At 36.0% G+C, this 26,065-nt stretch overlaps 1 protein-coding gene across 33 annotated transcripts in view; it reads left to right on the forward strand.

Moving 5' to 3' along the window:
• The window catches only part of TEX9 (testis expressed 9), a 216,038-nt gene that overhangs the window by 158,112 nt on the left and 31,861 nt on the right, over positions 1-26,065 (forward strand). For 28 of the 33 annotated variants that reach the window (NR_169563.1, NR_169561.1, NR_169560.1 and 25 more), the window contains 2 exons: positions 10,218-10,352; positions 25,521-25,655. Coding sequence is in view for 29 of the 33 variants with exons in the window: in NM_001385043.1 (NP_001371972.1) it covers positions 10,218-10,352; positions 25,521-25,655 (270 nt within the window). In the remaining 4 variants the exon portion in view is untranslated. Of the gene's footprint in view, positions 1-10,217; positions 10,353-17,678; positions 17,756-25,520; positions 25,656-26,065 lie in introns of all 33 variants that reach the window. The other 5 variants (XM_047432468.1, XM_047432467.1, NM_001385047.1 and 2 more) reach the window with 3 other exon arrangements.

Raw genomic sequence — 26,065 nt, forward strand, 5'->3', positions numbered from 1 at the left:
AGGAAACAAATTCAAAAGCTAGCAGAAAGCAAGAAATAACTAAGATCAGAGCAGAACTGAAGGAGATAGAGACATGAAAAACCCTTCAAAAGATCAATTAATCCAGGAGCTGGCTTTTTGAATTTTGTCTATCAACAAAATTGTTAGACCGCTAGCAAGACTAATAAAGAAGAAAATAGAGAAGAATCAAATAGACGCAATAAAAAATGATAAAGGGGATATCGCCACGGATCCCGCAGAAATACAGACTATCATCAGAGAATACTATAAACACCTCTACACAGATAAACTAGAAAATCTAGAAGAAATGGATGAATTCCTGGACACATACACCCTCCCAAGACTAAACCAGGAAGAAGTTGAATTTCTGAATAGATCAATAACAGGCTCTGAAATTGAGGCAATAATTAATAGCCTACCAACCAAAAAGAATCCAGAACCAGATGGATTCACAGGCGAATTCTACCAGAGGTATAAGGAGGAGCTGGAACCATTCCTTCTGAAACTGTTCCAATCAATAGAAAAAGAGGGAATCCTCCCTAACTCATTTTATGAGGCCAACATCATCCTGATACCAAAGCCTGGCAGAAACACAACAAAAAGAATTTTAGACCAATATCCCTGATGAACATTGATGCAAAAATCCTCAATAAAATACTGGCAAACTGAATCCAGCAGCATATCAAAAAGCTTATCCAACAAGATCAAGTCGGCTTCATCCCTGGTTGAACAAGGCTGGTTCAACATACACAAATCAATAAATGTAATCCATCACATAAACAGAACCAACAACAAAAACCACATGATTATCTCAATAGATGCAGAAAAGGCCTTTGACAAAATTCAACAGCCTTACATGCTAAAAACTTTCAATAAACTAGGTATTGATGGAACATATCTCAAAATAATAAGAGCTATTTATGACAAACCCACAGCCAATTTCATACTAAATGGGCAAAAACTGGAAGCATTCCCTTTGAAAACTGGCACAAGAGAAGGATGCCCTCTCTCACCACTCCAGTTCAACATAGTGTTGGAAGTTCTGGCCAGGGCCATCAGGCAAGAGAAAGCAATAAAGGGTATTCAATTATGAAAAGAGGAAGTCAAATTGTCCCTGTTTGCAGATGACATGATTGTATGTTTAGAAAACCCCATCGTCTCAGCCCAAAATCTCCTTAAGCTGATGAGGAACTTCAGCGAAGTCTCAGGATACAAAATCAATGTGCAAAAATCACAAGCATTCCTATACACCAATAACAGACACACAGCCAAATCATGAGTGAACTCCCATTCACAATTGCTACAAAGAGAATCAAATACCTAGGAATCCAACTTACAAGGGATGTGAAGGACCTCTTCAAGGAGAACTGCAAACCACTGCTCAATGAAATAAAAGAGGACACAAACAAATGGAAGGACATTCTGTACTCATGGATAGGAAGAATCAATATCGTGAAAATGGGCATACTGCCCAAGGTAATTTATAGATTCAATGCCATCCCCATCAAGCTACCAATGACTTTCTTCACAGAATTGGAAAAAACTACTTTAAAGTTCACGTGGAACCAAAAAAGAGCCCTCATTGCCAAGACAATCCTAAGCCAAAAGAACAAAGCTGGAGGCATCACACTACCTGACTTCAAACTATACTACAAGGCTACAGTAACCAAAACAGCGTGGTACTGCTACCAAAACAGAGATATAGACCAATGGAACAGAACAGAGCCCTCAGAAATAATACCACACATCTACAACCATCTGATCTTTGACAAACCTGACAAAAACAAGAAATGGGGAAAGGAGTCCCTATTTAATAAATGGTGTTAGGAAAACTGGCTAGCCATATGCAGACAGCTGAAACTGGATCCCTTCCTTACACGTTATACGAAAATTAATTCAAGATGGATTAAAGACTTAAATGTTAGACCTAAAACCATAAAATCCCTGGAAGAAAACCTATGCAGTACCATTCAGGACATAGGCATGGGCAAGGACACTTCATGACTAAAACACCAAAAGCAATGGCAACAAAAGCCAAAATAGACAAATGGGATCTAATTAAACTAAAGACCTTCTGCACATCAAAAGAAACTACCATCAGAGTGAACAGCCAACCTACAGAATGGGAGAAAATTTTTGCAATCCACCCATCTGACAAACGGCTAATATATACAGAATCTACAAAGAACTTAAACAAATTTACAAGAAGAAAATCAACCCCATCAAAAAGTGGGCAAAGGATATGAACAGACGCTTCTCAAAAGAAGACATTTATGCAGCCAAAAGACACATGAGAAAATGCTCATCATCACTGGTCATTAGAGGAATGCAAATCAAAACCGCAATGAGATACCATTTCACACCAGTTAGAATGGCAATCATTAAAAAGTTAGCAAACAACAGATGGTGGAGAGGATGTGGAGAAATAGGAACTCTTTTACACTGTTGGCAGAGTGTAAATTAGTTCAACTGTGGTGGAAGACAGTGTGGCGATTCCTCAAGGATCTAGAACTAGAAATACCATTTGACCCAGCAATCCCATTACTGAGTATATACCCAAAGATTATAAATCATGCTACTATAAAGACACATGCACACGTATGTTTATTGTGGCACTATTCACAATAGCAAAGACTTGGAACCAACCCAAATGTCCATCAATGATAGACTGGATTAAGAAAATGTGGCACATATATACCACGGAATACTCTGCAGCCATAAAAAAGGGTGAGTTTATGTCCTTTGCAGGGACATAGATGAAGCTGGAAACCATCATTCTCAGCAAACTATCACAAGGACAGAAAACCAAACACCGCATGTTCTCACTCATAGGTGGGAATTGAACAATGAGACCACTTGGACACAGGGCGGGAACATCACACACCAGGGCCTGTCTGGCGCTAGGGAGCTGGCAGGGGGATTGCATTAGGAGAAATACCTAATGTAAATGACGAGTTGATGGGTGCAGCAAATCAACATGATACATGTATACCCATGTATCAAACCTGCACGTTGTGCACATGTACCCTAGAACTTAAAAGTATATTAATAAAAAAAATTAAAATACAAAAAAGCCGGGCGTGGTGGTGGGCGCCTGTAGTCTCAGCTACTTGGGAGGCTGAGGCAGGAGAATGGCGTGGCGTGAAACCGGGAGGGAGCTTGCGGTAAGCCTAGATGTCGCCACTGCACTCCAGCCTGGGTGACAGAGCAAGACTCCGTCTCAAAGAAAAAAAAAAAAAAAAAAGGAAACTGAGTTTGTTGGTTAAGCAAATTACCCAAGGTTATATATAGGTAGTGGCAGAACAGGATTCAAACTGTGTCTGACACCAAAGTCTGTGTTTTTTCAACAAATCATGTCATTCCCGAATCCCCCAAAATTAAATGAACGTAAGTACCATCTATTCCAAAATCTTATCACTCTTTAAGAGTTTAATACTTGAGACTTCTAGTTCACAATGAATGTACTAAGCAGTTATGATACACTGGCTATCTGAAGGCTTTTATAAAAGCTTCCATTGGATCTGAACTTTCCAGCTTGCATCCCTATCTACCCTGCCAGATAGGTATAATAATTCTCATGGGTTATGTAGCCATGAGAACTCAAGATTGAATCATTCTCTGCTAAGTCTCATTTTATATCTCTATACAAACAAATCTCGGTGTACAGTTCACAGAAAATGCCAGAGCTTGAGTGTGATGGACTTGCTTTTATAAATCTGCAAAAGCCAACCATTTTTAAAATTATTATGTATCACTTAAGCTGCTAATGCTAACAGATGGAGTTTTCTGAAATACAAAAACAGAAAGCATTTTACTTCAGCATTGGATTTTGTTTTTCTGTTAGTGATTTCTTTAAAATCAACTTTATTGAAGAATAACAAATACAATAAAACATACTTGTTTTTAGCTTATAATTCAATAAGTTTTCACAAATTAATATTCCCTCATAACTACTACCATAATCAAGATAATGAAAATTTATATTACCCTTCCAGAATATCCTTTGTACTCCTGCCCCATAAATCTCCAACCTCTAACTATGGCACCAGGCAGCCACTGAGCTATATTTTTTCACTACAAATTAGATTTTCCTTTTCTAAAATTTCATACAAATGAAATCGTGAATATGGACTTTTGTATATCTGGCTATTTTTCTTCAGCATAACATTTTTAAGGTTCATCAATGTTTTACATGTGGTGTGGTTCATTTCCTTGTATTGCTCCATATTACTTATTTATGGATATGCCATATTTTGTTTATCTGATCACCAGTTGATGTGACATTCAATTTTTTTCTAGTGTGGGCTATTAAAAATCCACAGTGAATTTCCATGTACAAGTATTCTGTGTGAACACGTTTTTATGTATACCAAATACTTAGGAGTGGAATTTGTGAATTTTATGGAAAGTGTATGCTTAACTTTTTAAGAAACTGCTAAACTGTGTTCCACAGTGATTGTACCATTTTACATTCCCACTAGCAATATATGAGAATTAGAGTTACTCTGTATCATCACCAACACTTGGGATTATTATCTTTTTAATTTTAGCCATTCTAGAGGAGAAGTAGTAGTATCTCATTGTAGTTTAATTTGTATTTCCTTTATAACTATGGATATTGAACATCTTTTCATGTGTTTCTTGGCCGTTCATATATCTTCTTTTGCGATGTATTTGTTCAAATTTTTTGCCCATTCGAAAATACTAAGTTGCAAATTCTTTGTTTACCTATGTAATTCCTTTATTAGAAGAATATATATTTTGAATAGTTTCTCTCAATCCGACTTGGATTTATTTTCTCAACAGTGTGTTTCAAAAGACAGCAGTTTTAAATTTTGATGAATTACAAAATGTTATTTTCTTGTGGCTTTTGCTTGTTTACCCAAAATATTACTTTCTTGTGGTTGGTGCTTTTTTCCCCATTCTATCTAAGAAATCTTTATCCACTCCAAAGTCATGAGACTTTTCTCCTGATTTCTTCTAGAAGTGTTATAGTGTTTGTGTGTGTGTGTGTGTATCTCAAAATCATATATAAATTGACCTGTAATCTATTTCAAGTTCATTTTGTGTGTGACAAGGATCAGAGTTCACTTTTTTGCATATGGATAATACAGTTCTTTCCTCATTTGCTTACCATGGCACCAGTGAAGGAAATGAATTGGCTGTGTTTATGTATGGGTCTTCTTTGAACTATTCTGTTATATTGATATATGCATTTGATATAATTCATTAGGAAAGTCATGTGCACTGGAGTTTTCTTTTGGAAGGATTTCAATGACCAATTCAGTTTATTTAATGGATACAAGTCTATTCTGATTTTCTGCTACTATTTGAGTCAGCTTTGCTAATTTATGTTTTTCGTGGTATTTGTCCACTTCATCTAAGTCAGATTTACTGGCATAAATTTGTACATAATATTCTTGTATTATGTTTATTATATTTATAATACCTGTATGATGTGTAATAATGGCCCCTCTTTCATTTCTGATACTGATAATTTGTCTCTTCTGTCATTTATTCTTAATCAGTCCTACTTTAAATGTATTTACAAATCTCAGGTATAATGCATTTGCTACCCTCACTTTCTGAGAAGTCAATTCCCTCTCCCACTTTTGGAGATGATTATTAAACAGTTGGTCTTTTTTCCTCAACTTTCCAACACCCCTTCCAACCTCCTTATTCTTGGCTCATGACTTTGCTTCCTTTTTCATTAAGGAAACAGAATCAAAAGATAACTTTATCATCCTTTCACTAAATTTACAACCTCGCTGCCTCTATACCACTCCCCACTCCAGTTAAAGTGAATTAGTACCTCTTCTGTCTAAAGCTGACCCCTGCACTTGTGCACTGGATTCTATATACTCTCTTCTACTCAAGGTCTCTGCACTGGCAATTGTCCTTCCTCTTGCAAAATCAAATTTACTCTTATCAGATTATACTCATTAGTGTACAGACATTTCATAGAATCATTCATATATCTATTTTAAAACTTCTTTAGATCTTACATCTACCTCCAGTCCTATATCATTGCTCCCCTTTACAGTGAAGCTTCCCAAAATTATTGTTTATACTCAGTGTCTCTATACCTCATGTGCCATTTTCTCCTGAAAATACTTTTGCTTAGGCTTCCATCTCTACCCTGCCATTGAAACTACTCTTAAAAAGGTCACCAATAATCCACACTGTAGTTGTGGTCCATTGTACTTGGTCAGTTATTCCTCACATGAATTTATATCTCAGCAATATTTGAAATAGTTGATTACTCCTTCCTTGAAACACTATTAATTTGGCTTCTGGAGCACCACAATCATGATTCTCCCTCATTTTCCTGGCCTTACGTAGTAGAGTGCCCAAGTCTCTTCTCTGTCTATATCTAATCCTTAGATTATCTCATTCAGTTCCATGGCTTTATATACCATCTATATATACGTTGATCATCCTCACATTTTTGTGTCTTGCCCTTACCTCTTCCTTTCTGCCCACTTGATATCTCTATTGTGTGTTAAACTTCACATGTCCTAAAGGAAGCTCTTGCTTCCCTGCCCTCAGCAAACCTGCTCTCTTCCTTCTCCCTGTCTTAGTAAAAGGCATCACCCAATTGTTCAGTCTAAAATTGAAGAGTCATCTTGATCTGTTTTCCTATATCCAGATCCAGCTCACCAACAAGTCCTGTCAATTCTGTCTTCAAAATACATAGAATAAACCACTTCTCAAAACATTCATTACATCTACCCAAGCCCAAGCCACTATCTTTTATTTAAACTATTATAATAACCTCCTAGATTGGCAGTACCACAGTGGCCAGAGTAATCCTTATAAAATTTAAGTCAGAGCCAGGCGCAGTGGCTTACACCTGTAATCCCAGCACTTTGGGATGCCGAGGCGGGCGGATCACAAGGTCAGGAGATTGAGACCATCCTGGGTAACACGGTGAAACCCCATCTCTACTAAAACTACAAAAAATTAGCCAGCGTGGTGGCGGTTGCCTGTAGTCCCAGCTTCTTGGGAGGCTGAGGCAGGAGAATGGCGTGAACCCGGGAGGCGGTGCTTGCAGTGAGCCGAGATTGCACCACTGCACTCCAGCCTGAGCCACAGAGCGAGACTCCGTCTCAAAAAAAAAAAAAAATTAAGTCAGATCATCACACACATACACATATGCATACACACTTAAAATCCTCCAAAGGCTTCCCGTGTCACTCAGAATAAAATCCAAATTTCTAAGTAAAGCTTACAAGGTTCACCTAGGCTTGTCCTGCCCACTTCTCTTATCAAAACCTAACACTGTGCCTATGTCACTCGGCTGAAACCACACTGACCTTCTAGGTGATTTTTGAATATATTAAGTGGATTCCTACTACAGGATCTTTGTCTTCATTGTTCTTATTATCTGGAATTCTTTCCCCAAGATCTTTATTTGATTATTTTATTTTTTTAGAGAGAGGATCTCACTCTGTTGCTCAGGCTGGAGTACAGTGGTGCAATCATGGCTTACTACAGCCTTGACCTCCCCAGCTCAAGCAATCCTTCTGCCTCAGCCTTCCAAGCAGCTGGGACCACATACATATGCCACAATGTCCAGCTAATTTTTAAATTTTTTTGTAGAGACAAGGTCTCCCTGTGTTGCCTAGACTGGTCTCGAACTCCTGGGTTCATCTTCCCACATTGGACTCCCGAAGTGCTAGGACTACAGGCGTGAGCCACTGTGCCTGGCCTCCCTAAGATTTTTACTTAAATCATTACCTCACTTCATTTGGAAGACTTCCCTGACCACTTTATTTTAAATAGTTTTACCCTTCCCTCATTGTTCTGTCCCTTTACCCTTTTTTTCTTGATAGTCCTTAACACTGCCAGATATTACATATGTCTATGTGTATATATGTGTTCATCTTCTGTCTCTTCCTCTAGAATGCAAATGTCATGAGAGGAGGAACTTTGGTTAATTTGTGTGCCCATCATATAGAATAGTATCCTGCATGTAGTAAGTGCTTAATAAATGTGTTGAATAAATGAATGAAACCTATTAGGTATAGATAATATTACTCACAATTTCAGATATGGAAATGAGTCTACCACAGCTGGCAGGTTTTCTGATTCCTAGTCCATTCTTTTCTACCTTAGCCACTTGTTTCTGAAACCATATCTGATTATTTATTTATCCTCATCTGATTATTTCTTATCTGAATTTCTGTGGTGCTTCGTGTTATTCCCAGAGCATTTACTACATTTTGTCCTCTGCTGTGGCTGATGCATGCCCCTCTCTTTTCTTACTCTCCCCCAGTGCCTTTTATGAATGCTTTAATAATCATGAGAGAGTGGTACATCATTTCCTCTTGAAGCTCACAGTATTTGAATTTTAATGTTAAATTTGATTTTCTTAGGTTTTTTTTTTAAAAAAAAACTAATGTGCAACTCAGGACTTCAGATTTTTCGTGAAATTTTTGTCTAGCAACCTGTAACTCCTTAAATTTTTATAACAGTAGAAATTTGTTTAGTGGATTTACTCATATAGAAAACTTTACTTCCTACTTTACTATTCTTGTGGCTATCATTTTTCCCCCACACCTCCCAAGAAGAGGGCAGTATTGATTCAGGGATAGGGGACATCATGTGGTACAGGATGGTTTTCATTTTCCTGTGAAATAGGTTACAAAGTCATCAGCAGGCAAGAGGGGAAAGATTCATTTCTATATTCTTAAGAAGGAAGACTGAAATGAGGCAGCAAGAAATGTGGACTTTGTAGCTAATGAGAATCTTTGCCTTTTCTATGTGAACAGTGAGATAAATCAAGCTAGCTCTTCCTGTAGCTACCACCCACAAAGCTGTGAAGAAGGCTGTGATAGCAGATGGTATCCATACACAGTTTGATTTGTTTAGAAACCTACATAAAGAGCAGCATGTGTTTTGTTTTGTTTTTCCCCTTAATTACTCAGAGCCAGGGAGACCAGTTTTTAAATAAAATGTAGTGATATAGCCAGGAAAAAATTATAAAAGAATATAGACAACTGTATTTTTAACTTCATCATTTCAACTCTATAATATTTATTGAGTATCTTCTCAATTTATTGAGTAAGGCTCTGGACTAGGCCTTACTTTGTAGGGGATATAAAGAAGAGTGGGTTTAGTATTACAAAATAAGTTCAGTTTAACTAACGTGTGTTAGTGTCTTTTATATCCCACTGAAGTGCTGAGTATACAGAAATTAAGACAGTTCTTTTCTTCAAGGAGCTTAAACTATAGTGGGGGAAATAAAGTTAAGGGATAGTTTCAGTACCACATAGCAGATATGATGATAAATGTCTCTCAAGGTGCTATACAAGCTTTGAAGAGGGTACTTAATATAATCTGGGTGGATAATGAGGATTAGAAAGGAAATATGTCCTGGGAGAGCTAATGCCCTAGAGTACAAATCTAGCTGAGTCAGTAGGTGCTAGCTATGTGAAAATGAGTGGGCAGAGATCAGGGCAGGAGGAAGAGCACAGGCGAAGACTGAGGCAGGAAACACCATGGCTGTTTGGGAGAGATCCAGTTACTGCTGGTATTACTGAAAGTAACATCTTTGGCAGGAGATGAGGCTGGTTGATTATGGTGGAGTTAAGAGTTTATCCTCTAGGTTCATGTTTCTTCAGGTGTTGGCCTGTTGACTCTCTGCAACAGAATATCCTAGGATGTTTGCAGAAATATAAGACTAAACTCACCCCAGGATGTGGAAAATAATCTATAAGATCTGTTGTTTCTACTTAGAATTGGGATTTTCCTATAGGGCTATATAGAATGTTGTGCATTTAATGAATATATTCTGAAAAGATTTACTTTGTCAGGTATACAGAAAAACAGTGGAGAGTTTCTCTTAACATTGGTCTTTTTGGGAGGTTCCCAAGAGAAGAAATACAGTTATAATGAGTTGTTTATAAAATAGAGGACAGGTATACTGTGTCTTGAGTCAATAAAGAGAGAGAAAATTCCAAACGAAAAGTAATTTGAAAGCCCGGTTCACAACTACATTTTTTAGGATATATTTCTCTAATACCAATTTGAGGCAAGAATTCCTTGAGACCTCTAACACTTAGTGTTCAGCCTCTACCCCCAAGCGTGTGTGTGTGTGTGTGTGTAAAGTTTGAGAGAAAGCAAGGAATATGGATATGGAAGATACTGCAAAATGATAAAGGGGGAAACTATGATATATTTATAAATGTTCCATAATCTTTTTTACTATACAGGAATTAGAAAATAAAAGAAGACTGCAAAAACAGGCTGCAAGTAGTCAAAGTGCCACAGAGGTTCGCTTGAATAGAGCTCTAGAAGAAGCAGAAAAGTATAAACTGGAGTTAAGTAAATTAAGGCAAAATAACAAGGTATGGAAAAATTGAATAGCTTTTGTAGTGATCCCTTTTGGTAACTACTTCTTTTATGAACATGTCAAAAATAATACTTAAATTATAATTCTTGATGTCATGCTGAACATTTCTCTTTTCAGAAGAAATATATTCATTAGCAGTATACACATTTCTAACATGTTAGGATGATATGCTTGTCTGTCGCCATTATTGGGTGATGGCACAACTCTTTGGAAGATTGATTTCTTCAACCAGTTTTATCAGGTGCCCATATTATATGTCAGACACTTTTCTAAGCTCTTAGAAAAAGTTGTTTAAAAAAAGTATCTTTTGTATCTCAAGTCTTTTATTCTTCTCTGAACCTCAGTTTTCTAATAGATAAAGTAAGGCTCTATTTTACAGGGCAGTGGTTCTCAAACTTGAGCATGTATCAGAATCTCTGGGAGGGCTTGTTAAATCACATTGCTGGGTCCCATCCCCAGAATTTCTGATTTAATAGGTCTGGAGTGAGGCCTGAGAAATTGCACTTTTAACAAGTTCCCAGGTAAATTATTGTAAGGATCACCGTAACTCCAGTGTCTAGCCAATGCTTGGCATAGAATTAGCATTCGGTGCCTTAAATATCTGTTGAATAAATGAAAGTTCAAATACCAATGTTCATGAAACCCCTTTGTACCTTCTATAAATATTGGTTACTTTTTGGTTCTGTATTGACCTGAAAGGGTAATAAGTGATATTACCTATTTAATAATTTTTAAATTCTATTTAATAATTAAATATTTAATATTTAATAATTAAATAATTTAATTTATTTAATACTTAAATAATTTAATTTATTTAATTAAATAATTTAATAATTAAATAATTTAATAATAAATTATTTAATTTAATAATTTATTATTTAATAATTAAAACAATATTTAATAATTAAAACAATTCTGTTTAATAATTAAACTATTTAATAATTTAAAAATTTTAATTGTGGTAAGCTAACACATAAGATTTACCTTCTTAAACATTTTAAGCATATAGTTCAGTAGTGTAACATAGATTCACACTGTTATACAACCTATCCATGAACTCTTTTCATCTTGCAAAAACTGAAACTCTCTACCAATTAAGCCACTCCCCATTTCCACCTCCCTCTAGACCCTGGCAACCACCATTGTACTTTCTGTCTCTATAAATTTGACTGCTCTAGGAAGTAAACGTCAGTAGAATTATACCATATTTGTTTTTCTTTAACTGGCTTATTTCACTTAACATAATGTTAAGTGACTCTCATAATTAAAACAATATTTAATAATTTAATCATGACTTGGATAATGAAATTAGGAACCACCTTCATTATATACACAGATAATACATTTTGGATTAAGTTAGTAACACTTAACAGGAATAGACTGAAAGTGACCTTGATACATCCTCTAACATGTTTGAGAGGCAAATATGTGCCGTAGTGATTACAGAGTTTTAAGATGTCGTCTGTGAGATAGTTTGTTATATGGTCAGGTCATTTTCATATTCAGGGGCCATCAATGATGGCATAACTGGGATTTATTAATAGAAGTTATTACATGAACAAGTTAGGAAGTCATCTTTATAGACTCACCAGTAATTAGCATGTTATTCGAGTATTATTTCCAATTTGGTGCATTTTACAGGGATTTTGAAGAAAATGAAGAATAACCACCTAGGTATCAGGATTTCCTAATTGTTGTAGATTTGACCTCTATATTGTATTAGTTCACATATTAAGAAAACAGAAGGAAAATGGTTTCATGAAACAGATGACTCTCCATATTCTAGCCAGCCATTTTGTTTTATTTTGTTTTAATTTTTTTTAGGTTTGTGGGTACATGTGAAGGTTGCATAGGTAAACAGGTGTCATGGGGGTTTGTTGCACATATATTTCATCACCTAGGTATTAGGCCCAGTACTCAATAGTTATCTCTTCTGCTCCTCTCCCTTTTTCCACCTTCCCCACTTCAAGTAGACCCCAATGTCTGTTTCCTTCTTTGTGTTCTGTAAGTTCTTATCATTTAGCTCCCACTTATAAGTGAAAACAAGCGGTATTCGGTTTTGTGTTCCTACATTAGTTTGCTAAGGATAACTGCCTCTAGCTCCATCCATGTTCCCACAAAAAACATGATCTCGTTCTTTTTTATGGCTACATAGTATTCCATGGTGTATACGTACCAAATTTTCTTTATCCATTCTGTCATTGATGGGCATTTAGTTGATTCCATGTCCTTGCTATTGTGACTAGTGCTGCAGTGAACATTTGTGTGCATGTGTCTTTATGGTAGAATGATTTATATTCCTCTGGGTATAATACCAATAATGAGATTGCTGGGTCCAATGGTAGTTCTGCTTTTACCTCTTTGAGGAGTCACCGTACTGCTTTGCACAATGGTTGAACTAATTTACACTCCCACCAAGTGTATAAGTGTTCCCTTTTCTCTGCAACCTCACCAGATCTGTTATTTTTTGACTTTTTAGTAATAGCCATTCTGACTGGTGTGAGGTGGTATTTAATTGTGGTTTTGATGTGCATTTCTCTGATGATCAGTGATATTGAGCTTTTTTTTCATACTTGTTGGCCACATGTATGACTTCTTTTGAGACGTGTCTGTTCTTGTTCTTTCCCCACCTTTTAATGGGGTTGTTCTTCTCTTGTAAATTTGTTTAAGTTCCTTATAGAAGCTGGATATCAGACCTTTATCAGATGCATAGTTTGCAAAAATTTTCTCCCATTCTGTAGGTGGTCTTTTTACTCTGCCGATCATTTATTTTTCTGTGCAGAAGCTCTTTAGTTTAAGTAGATCCCACTTGTCAGTTTTTGCTTTTGTTGCAGTTGCTTTTTCTGTCTTTGTCGTGAAATCTTTGCCCGTTCCTATGTCCAAAATGGTATTGCCTAGGTTGTCTTCCAGGGTTTTTATAGTTTTGGGTTTTCCATTTAAGTTTTTAGTTCATCTTGAGTTGGTCTTTGTATAAGGTGGAAGGAAAGGGTCCAGCTTCAGTCTTCTGCAAATGGCTAGCCAGTTATCCCAGCACCATTTATTGAAGAGGGAGCCCTTTCCCATTGCTTTTGTCAGGTTTGAAGATCAGACGGTTGTAGATGTGCGGCCTTATTTATGGGCCCTCTACTCTGTTCCATTGGTCTATGTGCCTGTTTTTGTAACAGTACCTGTTTTTGTACCATGTGCTGTTTTGGTTATTGTAGACTTGTAGTATAGTTTGAAGTCACACAGTGTGCCTCCAACTTTGTTCTTTTTGCTTAGTATTGCCTTGGCTATTCAGGCTCTTTTGTGGTTCCATGTGAATTTTTAAATAGTTTTTTCTAATTCTGTGAAGAATGTCACTGGTAGTTTGATAGGAATAGCATTGAATCTGTAAATCGCTTTGGGCAGTATAGGCATTTTAATAAGTGTTCCTATCAGTGAGCATGGGATGTTTTTTCCCGTTGTGTTTTCTCTGATTTCTTTGAGCAGTGTTTCGTAATTCTCATTGTAGAGATCTTGCACCTCCCTGGTTAGCTGTATTCCTAGGTATTCTTTTTGTGGCAAGTGGGGATGGGATTGCTTTTCTGATTTGGCTCTTGGTTTGGCTGTTGTTAGTATATAGGAATGCTAGTAATTTTTGTACATTGATTTTGTATCCTGCAACTTTGCTGAAGTTGTTTATCTGCCAAAAGGAGCTTTTGGGACAAGACTATGGGGTCTTCTAGATATAGAATTACGCCGTCTGCAAACAGATAGTTTGACTTCCTATTTGGATGCCCTCTCTTTATTTCTCTTGCCTGATTCCTCTGGTTAGGACTTCCAATACTATGTTGAATAGTGTTGAGAGAGGGCATCCTTGTCATGTGACAGTTTTCAAGGGAATGCTTCCAGCTTTTGTCCATTCAGTATAATGTTGGCTGTGGGTTTGCCATAGATGGCTCTTATTATTTTGAGGTCTGTTCCTCCAATATCTATGTTATTTAGAGTTTTTAACATAAAGGGTGTTGAATTTTATTGAAAGCCTGTTCTGCATCTATTGAGGTAATCGTGGTTTTTGTCTTAATTCTGTTTATGTGATAAATTGCATTTATTGATTTATACATGTTGAACCAACCCTGTATCCCAGGAATGAAGTCTACTTGATCATGGTAGATAAGCTTTTTGATTTGCTCCTGGATTTGGTTTGCAAATATTTTGTTGAGGATTTTTGTATCAGTGTTCATCAAGGATATTGGCCTGAAGTTTTCTTTTTTGGTTGTCTGTCTGCCAGGTTTTGGTATCAAGATGATGCTGGCCCCATAGAATGAGTTGGGGAGGAGTCCCTCCTCAGTTTTTTGGAATAGTTTCTGTAAGAATGGTACCAGCTTTTCTTTGTACATCTGGTAGAATTTGGCTGTGAATCCACTGGGTCCCAGGCTTTTTTTGATTGGTAGGCTATTTATTACTGATTCAGTTTTGGAGCTCATTATTGGTCTGTGTAGGGATTCAGTTTCTTCCTGGTTCAGTCCTGGGAGGGTGTACATGTCCAGGAATTTGTCCATCTCTTCTAGGTTTTCTAGTTTGTGTGCATAGAGGTGTTCATAGTAGTTTCTGATGGTTGTTTTTATTTCTGTGGGGTCAGTAGTAACATTCCCTTTGTCATTTCTAATTGTGTTTATTTGAATCTTCACTCTTCTTTACTAGTCTACCTAGTGGCCTATTTTATTAATTTTTTCAAAAAACCAGCTCCTGGATTCATTTATCTTTTGACTGGTTTTTCATGTCTTGATTTCCTTCAGTTCAGCTCTGATTTTTGTTATTTCTCATCTTCTGCTAGCTTTGGGGTTGATTTCTTCTTGCTTCTTGAATTCTTTCAGTTGTGAAGTTACGTTGTTAATTTGAGATCTTTATAACTTTTTGATGTGGGCGTTTAGTGCTATGAATTTCCCTCTTAACTCTCCCTTAGCTGTGTTCTAGAGATTCTGGTATGTTATATCTTTGTTGTTATTTTCAACTTTTTTATTTCTGACATAATTTCATTATTTACCCCAAAGTCATTGAGGAGCGTGTTGTTTAATTTCCATGTAACTGCATGGTTTTGAGTGATTTTCATAGTCTTGACTCCAGTTTATTGTGCTGTGGTCCAAGAGTGTGTTTGGTATGATTTCGTTCTTTTACATTTGTTGAGGATTGTTTTTTGTCCAATTATGTGGTCAGTTTTAGAGTATGTGCCATATGGCACTAAGAAGAATGTATATTGTGTTGTTTTTGGGTGCAGAGTTCTGTAAAGGTATCATATCCATTTGGTCCAGTGCTGAGTTTAGGTTCCAGATATCTTTGTTAATTTTCTACCTCGATGATCTGTCTAATACTATGGAGAGTTGAAGTCTCCCACTATTATTGTGTGAGAGTCTATGTCTCTTTGTAGGTTTCTAAGAACTTGCCTTATGAATCTGGGTGCTTCTGTGTTGTGTGCATGTATATTTAGGCTAATTAGGTCTTACTGAATTCAACACTTTACCATTCTGTAATGCCTTTCTTTGTCTTTTTTGATCTTTGTTGGTTTGAAACGTTTTGTCTGAAATTAGAATTGCAACCCCTGCTTTTTTCTGTTTTCTATTTCCTGGTAGATTTTCCTCTATCCCTTTATTTTGAGCCTATGAGAGTCATTAAATGTCAGATGGGTCTTCTGAAGACAGCATACCATTTGAGTCTTGCTTTTTTATCCAGCTTGTCACTCCATGCCTTTTAAGTGGGGCATTTAGACTGTTTATATTCAAGGTTAGTATTAATATGTGTGGATTTGATCGTGCTGTTGTGCTGTTAGCTGGTTATTAGGTTGACTTGTTTGTGTAATTGCTTTACAGTGACATTGATCTGTGTGGTTAAATGTGTTTTTGTCTTAGCTGGTAGTGGTCTTTGCTTTCTATGTTTAATGCTTCTTTCAAGAGCTTTGGTAAGGCAGGTCTGGTGGTAAAGAGTTCCTTCAACATTCACTTATCTGAAGAGGATCTTATTTCTCCTTCACTTAGGTAGCTTAGTTTGGCTTAATATGAAATTCTTGAGGGCTTTTTTTTTTTCTTTAAGAATATTGAAAAATTAGCTGGGCGTGGTGGTGGGCGCCTGTAGTCCCAGCTACTTGGGAGGCTGAGGCAGGAGAATGGCATGAACCTGGGAAGTGGAGCTTGCAGTGAGCCAAGATTGCACCACTGCACTCCAGCCTGGGTGACAGAGCGAGACTCTGTCTCAAAAAAAACCAAAAAACAAAAAAACAGATGTGATCCTTGTAGCTGTGCACCTATCTTATAATGAAATTGAATGTTTAGATAATCCATGAAGCAACACCTAGATAATTATCGAATTTAGATAATCTATCAAAGCTAAGGTGCAACTGCAATAAATGCTGTGGAAAGTATATGGTGCTTTGAGCAAGTAACCAAGCCAATAAATGCCTTTTTTAAAAACATCCAATGAGCATTTATTATAACACAACTGGCTACTATAGTTCTTTTGCATTTCCATGTAAGTTTTTAGAATCACATTTGGAGTTTTGATAGGCATTGTGTTGAATCTATAGATCAGTTTTGGGAAAATTGACATCTTAATAGCGTCTTTAAAGTCATGAATAGAGAAAATCTGTTTATTTAAGCCTTCTTCAATTTTTCCAAGCAGCTTTTATATATATATAGTTTCCAGAATACAGGTTTTACACACTTTTTTTTCAAACTTATCTCTTAGTGTTTCCGTTTTTTGATGTTATAAATGTTCTTTAAATTCCAGTTTCCCATTGTTTGTTGCTATAATGGAGAAATACAATTTATGTTTGCATATTGAGTCTATATCCTCAACTTTGCTGAACTCACTTATTCTAGAAGCCTTAGGATTTTCTACAGACCTTTTCTGTAAAGGACCAACTAGTAAATGCTTTGGCTTTGTGGGCTACATATGGTCCCTTGTGTATTCTTCACTGGTTTTCTTTTTTAAAATTTATTTAACACCTTCAAAATAAATCATTTTTAGTTCACAAGTTTTAGAAAAACTGACTGCAGTTTCCTGAGAGATCTTACCAGGAATGGATGTTGAATTTTGTCAAATGCTTTTTCCCGTATCTATTGAAATTATATTTTTCTTTTTTTAGTCTTTCAAATGTTAAAACAACCTTGTATTCCTGGGATATATTGCACTTGGTGATGGTGTGTCATTATCTCTTTTATATATTATTGGTTACTTTTTTGTGAATGTCTGTATACATGGGAACATAGTGCTAGTCTGTTTAGTCTGTAGTCTTGATTTAGTTTTCTTATACATTATTTTCATCTTTAGGTTTTTTGGTTTGAATTTGTTTTGGTTTTGGTTTCAGGGTAATGCTGCCTTTATTAAATGAACTTCCAAATCATTCTTCTGGAGAAGCTCAACTTTCAGATAAGTTTTTGTAGGGTTGGTATTATTTTTTCTTTGAATGTCTGGTAGAGTCCACAGGTAAAGCCGTCTGGGCCTGAGGTTTTCTTGTGGAAAGATTTTATACTTCAAATTCAATTTCTTTAATAGATACAGAAGTATTCCTTATAGAGGCTATATTTTATTGTGTTTTGGGTGCTTACATCTGTCAAGGAATCTGTTCATTTCGTTTATGTTGTCAAATTTACTGGCATACAGTTTTTTACACTAGTTCCTTATTGTCCTCTGAATATTCCTCCTACATTCCTGTGGGTCATTCCCCCCTCTCATTCTTGTATTGGTAATTTGTGTCTTTTTTACTTTTTCTGATCAGTCTTACTAGAGGTTTACTAATTCTGGTTTTATTGATTTTCCTCTACTGATTTTTTATTTTTTTTATTGATTTCTGCTCTTCTATTTCTTTCCCTCTCCTTACTTTTGGGTTCAATTTGTTCTTTTTCTCTTTTCTCTTTTTTTTTTCTCCCCTAGACAGAGTCTTGCTCTGTTGCCCAGGGTGGAGTGCAGTGGCGCAAACTTGGCTCACTGCAACCTCCGCCTCCCAGGTTCAAGCGGTTCTCCTGCCTCAGCCTCCTGAGTAGCTGGGATTACAGGCCCCCGCCACCATGCTCGGCTAATTTTTGTATTTTTAGTAGAGATGGGGTTTCACCATGTTGGCCAGACTGGTCTCGAACTACTAACCTCGTGATCTGCCCGCTTTGACCTCCTAAAGTGCTGGGATTAAACAGATGTGAGCCATCACGCCTGGCCTCTTTTTCTAATTTTTAAAATGGAAGTGGAGACTGTTGATTTGTACGCTTTCTTCTTTGCTAATATAAGCATTTAAACACTGTAAATGTTTCTCTATGAATTTCCTTAGCTACTTCCCACCAAATTTGATTTTTTGTATTTTCATTTTTATTCTATTCAGAATACTTTCTAATTTTCTTTTTTATTTCCTCTGAGCCATGACAAACTTTACGAGTTTGTCATTTCATTTTTCAAATACTTAGGGATTTTCCCCAGATACCATTCTTACTGATTTTTAATTCCATTGTGGACAGAGAATGCATTTGGTTTTATTTGAATCACTCTAAATTTATGGATACTTTTTTTTGGCCCAGAATATGGTTTAAATTGGGAAATATTTCATGTGCCCTTGATAGGAATGTGCATTCTGTATTTGTTAGGTGGAGTATTCTATAAATGTCAATTATGTCAAATTGCTTGATAGTGTTGTTCAATACTTCTGTATCTTATGTATTTTCTGTGTCCCTGTTCTATCAATGATCAAGAGAGGGGTACTAAACTCTGAATAGAACTGTGAGTTTGTCTATTTTCCCTTTCAGTCTTAACAATTTTTGCATCATGTATTTTGAGACTTGGTTATTAGCTATATTAATACCCAGTATCTAAGAAGATTGTTAAATCCTCTTGAATGAATTGACCTCTTATTATTTATTTATATTTATTTTTGTTGCTGCATTCTGATACAGGTTGAGTATCCCTTATCAGAAATGCTTGGGACCAGAAGTGTTTTAGAAATGCTACAGTGGACATTTCATCTTTGAGAATCATGTCAGCACTCAAAAAGTTTTAGATTTTAGAGCATTTTGGATTTCAGACTTTTGGATTAGGGATACTCAACCTGTATTACCTTTGTTTGATATTCATGCAACTCAAGCTTTATTTTAGTTCGTGTTAGCATTGTCTTGTCTTTTTCCATTCTTTTATTTGTAACTCCTTTGTGTCTTCTCATTAGCAGCATCTAGTTGACTTTGCTTTTTAAAAAAATCCAGTCTCCAGAGTGTGATGTTCCCCTTCCTGTGTCCATGTGTTCTCATTATTCAATTCCCACCTATGAGTGAGAATATGCGGTGTTTGGTTTTTTGTTCTTGCGATAGTTTGCTGAGAATGATGATTTCCAATTTCATCCATGTCCCTACAAAGGACATGAACTCATCATTTTTTATGGCTGCATAGTATTCCGTGGTGTATATGTACCACATTTTCTTAATTCAGTCTATCATTGTTGGACATTTGGGTTGGTTCCAACTCTTTGCTATTGTGAGTAGAGCCGCAATAAACATACGTGTGCATGTGTCTTTATAGCAGCATGATTTATAGTCCCTTGGGTATATACCCAGTAATGGGATGGCTGGGTCAAATGGTATTTCTAGTTCTAGATCCCTGAGGAATCGCCACACTGACTTCCACAATGGTTGAACTAGTTTACAGTCCCACCAACAGTGTAAAAGTGTTGTGGGGAGGGGGGAGGGGGGAGGGATAGCATTAGGAGATATACCTAATGCTAAATGACGAGTTAATGGGTGCAGCACACCAGCATAGCACATGTATACATATGTAACTAACCTGCACATTGTGCACATGTACCCTAAAACTTAAAGTATAATTAAAAAAATAATAAAATAAAAAAATAAAAAAATCCAATCTGACAGTCTCTTTTTAATTGAGGTGCTTACACCATTATATTTAAAATGATTAATAATATGGTTGGGATTAACTCTATTAGCTAGCTGTTGTTTTAGTTGGCCCGTATGTTTTCTTTCCCTTCTTTTTGAATTGCTTTTTTAAAGATTCCATTTTATCTCCTTTATTAGATCATTATCTGTACTTCTTTGTATGCATTTCAGCATTTGTTATATATATGTTTATCACTGTATACCTCCAAGTAATATAGCATTTTATGAATAATTTAAGAGCCTTTTAGCAGTATACTTCCATTACCCCCCACCCTTTCTGCTATTGTCATATGTTTTATCTATAAACTCTACATTGTTAATTTAAAAATTTTTAATTGTGGTAAGCTACACATAAGATTTACCTTCTTAAACATTTTAAGCATATAGTTCAGTAGTGTAACATAGATTCACACTGTTATACAACCTATCCATGAACTCTTTTCATCTTGCAAAAACTGAAACTCTCTACCAATTAAGCCACTCCCCATTTCCACCTCCCTCTAGACCCTGGCAACCACCATTGTACTTTCTGTCTCTATAAATTTGACTGCTCTAGGAAGTAAACGTCAGTAGAATTATACCATATTTGTTTTTCTTTAACTGGCTTATTTCACTTAACATAATGTTCTCAAGGTTGATCAAAGTTGTAGCATGTGTCAGAATTTCATTCCTTTTTAAGGCTTAATAATCATTGTATTTACATACCACATTTTGTTTATTCATCCATCAGTGGACAGTTGAGCTGCTTCCCAACCTTTTGGCTAGTATGAGTTGCACTGCTTTGAACAAGGGTATACAGATATCAATGTCTCCTAGAGAAAAGTGAAATGCTAGTTCCTTGATGTGTAAAGTCAGGTTGATTTGAAATCTTCTTTCCTAATGTAAGCATTTACAACTACAAATTTCCCTCTTAGCAGTGCTTATACTCTGTCCTATAAGTTTTGGTGTATTGTAGCTTTGTTGTCATTTGCCTCATGATATTTTCCAATTTGCTTTGTGATTTCTTCTTTGACCCCTTGGTAGTTTGAGTGTTTTGTTCAATCCCCACATATTTGTGGATTTTCCAGTTTTCCGTCCGCTGTTGATTTCTAGTTTGAATCAACTGTGATTGGAAAATATACTTTGTATGACTTATAAAATGTGGGGAATGTTCCATGTGCACTTGAGAAAACTGTATTCTCTTATTTTTTTCGTTAACATCTTATTGAGATACAATTCATATACCATGCAACCCACTTAAAATATACAAATAAGTTTGTTTTTAGTAGTCACAAAGTTGTGCAACCATCACCACAATCAATTTTGCAATTTTATCACCCCAAAAAGAACGTCTGTACCCATTCACAGCCACTCTATATTCCCCCAACACCCTGCACCACATTCTAGCCCTAGGCAACCACTAATCTACTTCCTGTCTCTCCATATTTGTCTGTTCTGGTATATGATTATATTTTTTCTTTATTATTTCAATCGTTTTGGGGGAACAGGTGGTGTTGGTTACACAGATAAGTGCTTTAGTGGTGATTTCTGAGATTTTGGTGCACCCATCACCCGAGCAGTCTATACTGAACCCAATGTGTAGTCTTTTATCCCTCTCACCCTTCCCCCACAAGTCCCTAGAGTCCATTATATCCTTCTTATGCCTTTGTGTTAGAGGACTACTCTTTATGTCTCTTAAATCTAATTGGTCTATAATGTTGTTCAAGTCCCTTATTGCTTTATTGGTCTTCCATCCGGTGATTCTATTGATTATTGGAAGTGGGGTATTGAAGTCTACTTTTACTATAGAGTAGTCTTTTCTCCAAGTCTGTCAATGCTTGCTTCATATATTTAGGCACTTTAATGTTTGGTACATATATAATTGTATCTATCTTCTTGCTGAACTGGCCCTTTTGTTTGGCCCATATGTTCTTATATAATGTCCTTCTTGGTATGTTTTAACAGTTTTGACTTAAAGTCTATTTTGTCAGATATTACTGTAGTCACTCCTGTGTTCTTTTGGTTACAAAATTTCAGATTATCTTTTTCCATCTTTTTACCTTAAACCTATGCATATCTCTGGATCTAAAGTTAGTTGCATGTAGACAGCATATAGTTGGATTTTGGTTTTTAAAAATCCATTCTTCCATTCAATTTATTTTGGTTAGGGAGTTTTGTCCATTTACATTTAAAGTTTTTGGGAGGTCTGTTGCTGTTTGTTCACAATTTTATGTATGTCTTGAGGACTTTTACCCTCTCATTTCCTTCCTTATTGCCTTATTGTTTAGTTGATTTTGTGTAATGATGCAACTTCAATCGTATATAAAGACTCTACTCCTTTTCAGCCCCTGCCCTACCTTGTGTTACTGGTGTCACAAATTACATCTTTAGGTTATGTACCCATTAACAAAGATTTATAGTATTTTTTATGCTTTTGTCTTTTAAATTCGAAAAGAATGAAAAGTGAAAGAATGAAAAGTGAGTTGTCAACCAAAATTAAAATAATACAGGCCTTTATATTTGTCCAAATATTTACATTTACTGGGGAATTTCATATTTGCATATAGCTTTGAATTATTGTCTAGTATCCTTTTGTTTCAACTTGAAGGATTTTCTTTAGGATTTTGTAGGGAAAATACAGTGGTAATGAAGTTCCTCAGCTCTTATCTAGGAATGTCTTAATTTCTTTTTCATTTTTGAAGGACACTTTGCTGGATGTAGTATTCTTCTAGGTTTTTTTCTTTCAGCCCTTTAAATATATCATCCTACTGACTTCTGGCCTGTAAAGTTTCTGCTGAAAAATCTGCTGATAATCTTACAGATGCTCCCTTGCATGTGATGAGCCATTTTGTCTTGTTGCTGTCAAGATTTTCTCTTTGTCTGACACTCGACTGATTAAAATGTGTCTTGCTGTGGGTCTCTGGGTTTATCCTACTTGGAGTTCATGGAGCTTTTTGTATTTGTGTATCCATTTCTTTCCTTAAATTTGGCAATTTTTCAGCTATTCTTCAAATAAGTTACTTGTCTCCTTTTCTATCTAAGATTACACTGATATACATATTGGCCCACTTGATGGTCTCCCTTAGCTGCTGTTCACTTTTCTTCATTCTTTTACTTTTGGCTCCTCTGACCTGCTCATTTCAAATGACCTGTCTGAAAGCTCACTCATTCTTTCTTATACCTGTACAGCTCTGCTGTTGAACCCTTCAAGTGAATTTTTCCATTCAGTTACTGTATTTTTCAGCTTTAGAATTTGTTTGGTTCTTTTTTGTAATTTTTGTTGATAGTCTCATTTTATTAATATATAGGTACCCTGATTTCATTTAGTTGTCAATATTCTCCTTCAGCTCATGGAGCATATTTATGGCAGTTATTTTAAAGTCCTTGTCAAATAAGTGAGAAGCCTTTGTTTCTTTAGGATACACTTCTGGATATTAATTTTGTTCCTTTAATATGGTCCATGTTTCCCTGTTTCTTTGAATGTCTTGTGATCTTACATTGAAAAACGGGTGTTTGAAAAAACAGCCACTTCTCCCAGTCTTGCAGACTGGCTGCATGCAAGCAAAGACCTTCACTAATCAGCATGGTGTAAAGTCTTGAGGTCCTCTCAAACCTTTCTGGGGTTGTGTCTTTCCTGGGCCTGTGTGTTTTAATTCCAGTTTTCCATACACACGGCTTCTTTTAAATGTCCTAATTACCTAAAAATCTCACTACTTCTTCTCAGAGATTTAGATGCTGTATTTTATTCCTCTGCCCATAATTTTTTGCCACCAGGTTCCTGCAGTTCTGTGGACTCACTACACCTCTCACATTCAGTGGTACCAACCACCTGTTTCCGCAGCTTCCAACCTGATATCCAAATGATGCAGCTGTTCCCATCAGTACTGAGTCAGGCAAGACAGATAGCAGTCCCTCAGGCAGGCCCCAGAAAAGCCAGAATGTTGCAAGCAAGTCTACTCTTTTCCCTCCATTCCAAGGGAAGAACTGGGAATTGGGTGGCTTCTTCCTGACTGTGCTGTGCCAGGGAGGATGTGGGTAAAGGGTGAGCAAAACACCATGACATTTCCTACTGCTTTGAATATGGCCTTTTCTTAGTTAGGCAGTCTCTTGGTTGCTGCTGCTGACTGACTGATTGGTTTCTAGAGCTCTCCCAAAGCTATTTTGGTCTGTGTATCATATAGTCAGTCTTTTAATGGGGAAGCAAAGGCCTGGAGCTTCCTAATCCACCATTTTGCTGACAACACTCTTATCTTTTAAAGAGGTGTTTTTTTTTTTTTTTTTTGAAAAGGTGTATATATATATATATATATATATATATATATATATATACACACACACAAACACACACACACACACGTATGTATACATAAGATTACACATTACTATTTCTTTTTTCTCCATCTTTTTTATGTGTGTGTACAGAGATTCACATTTCCTTCTGGTATCATTTTCCTTTTGTATGAATGACTTCCTTTAATCTTTCAAGTATAGATCTTCCTAAACGTAATGATTTCTACTGACCCTTTTTCTGCTTTGCCCAAATTGCTAAAGAGCTTATCCAGTCCATTTTTACCAAGATTACAAACTTGGTCTCCCGCTTGTCATGGGAAGTGGGTAAATTCTCTGCTTAGCTAAAGGCCACAGCCATTTCCTTTCACAGGTACCTAGGAGTCTCACCCTCTAAATGGTATTTAGATGTCTGCCAAGCATTTGAGGGAAATACGTATGCATGTTTTGAGGGCTCTGTTTTTCTAGAATTTTGTACCACCTTGGCAGCCCTGCTCTCTGACTCCTCAGTCCAATAAGACTACTACTTTTTGCTTGAGTTCTTACCTCTGTGAACCCACAAACTGGAAAGTGCTTTTAGAAGAAGCTAGTTGAATGTGGATCTCAACCAGTATTTCTGCTCTTTCAAGGATCATATCGCTTCCAGTTTCTACTTATTATTGATTACTCATCTACACCTTCAAATATACTTTTTAAACGTTTTTAAAATGTTTTCAAATATATTATTTTTGAAAATTCATAAATCCAGAGTTTATGTTGGTTCAATACAAGCTACTTTGCCATTACTGGAATTAGAACTGAGTTATTTTAAAAACATTTTTTAAAAATGGGAAATACCTGAGCATGACTAAAAGCTATCAAATTCCAGTAATTCGGTAATGGAAAGCAATTTTTATCTACAAAAATTTTATATTTCAGTTTAAGAAAGTACTTTTTATTACTGTTGTGATGATAGTCTATAATTCTTTCCATTGAGGCTGTATATTAAAAATATATGGCACTTTTTTTTCCTTGTGTAGGACATAGCAAATGAAGAACACAAAAAAATTGAAGTGTTAAAATCAGAAAACAAGAAGCTAGAAAAACAAAAAGGAGAATTAATGATAGGGTTCAAGAAACAGTTAAAATTAATTGATGTTTTAAAAAGGCAAAAGGTGAGTCTATCATTAAAGTTAAATCATCATATTATTTGTAACTTTCTTACTAAAAAATTTAGCATTTTTCACTTTAGGTATGTTTTTGACATCTTTACGCACTGAACTTCATATAAAATGCATCATACATATGAAATCATATGAAATCTAACATTTATAGTGAGATATATGTGTCATCTAAGCAAGTGGATATTTTCACATAAGTAAGTTAGTGTAGAAAATGGGACTGGAAAATACAGTATAGGTACTTCTCAACTACAGAAAGTACCAAATTAAAGAATGACTATTAGGGGACTGTTTGCCTCTTCAAACCTTAGAGCGAACATCACTTCCAAACCACTATTGCTGCTTTCTCTAAAAATTCATAGTTCTGACACTTTCCTTCTTTGCAAAGGTCAGGTATTTAAAAT

This window comes from Homo sapiens, chromosome 15, assembly GCF_000001405.40.
Source record: "Homo sapiens chromosome 15, GRCh38.p14 Primary Assembly".
Lineage (NCBI taxonomy): Eukaryota > Metazoa > Chordata > Mammalia > Primates > Hominidae > Homo > Homo sapiens.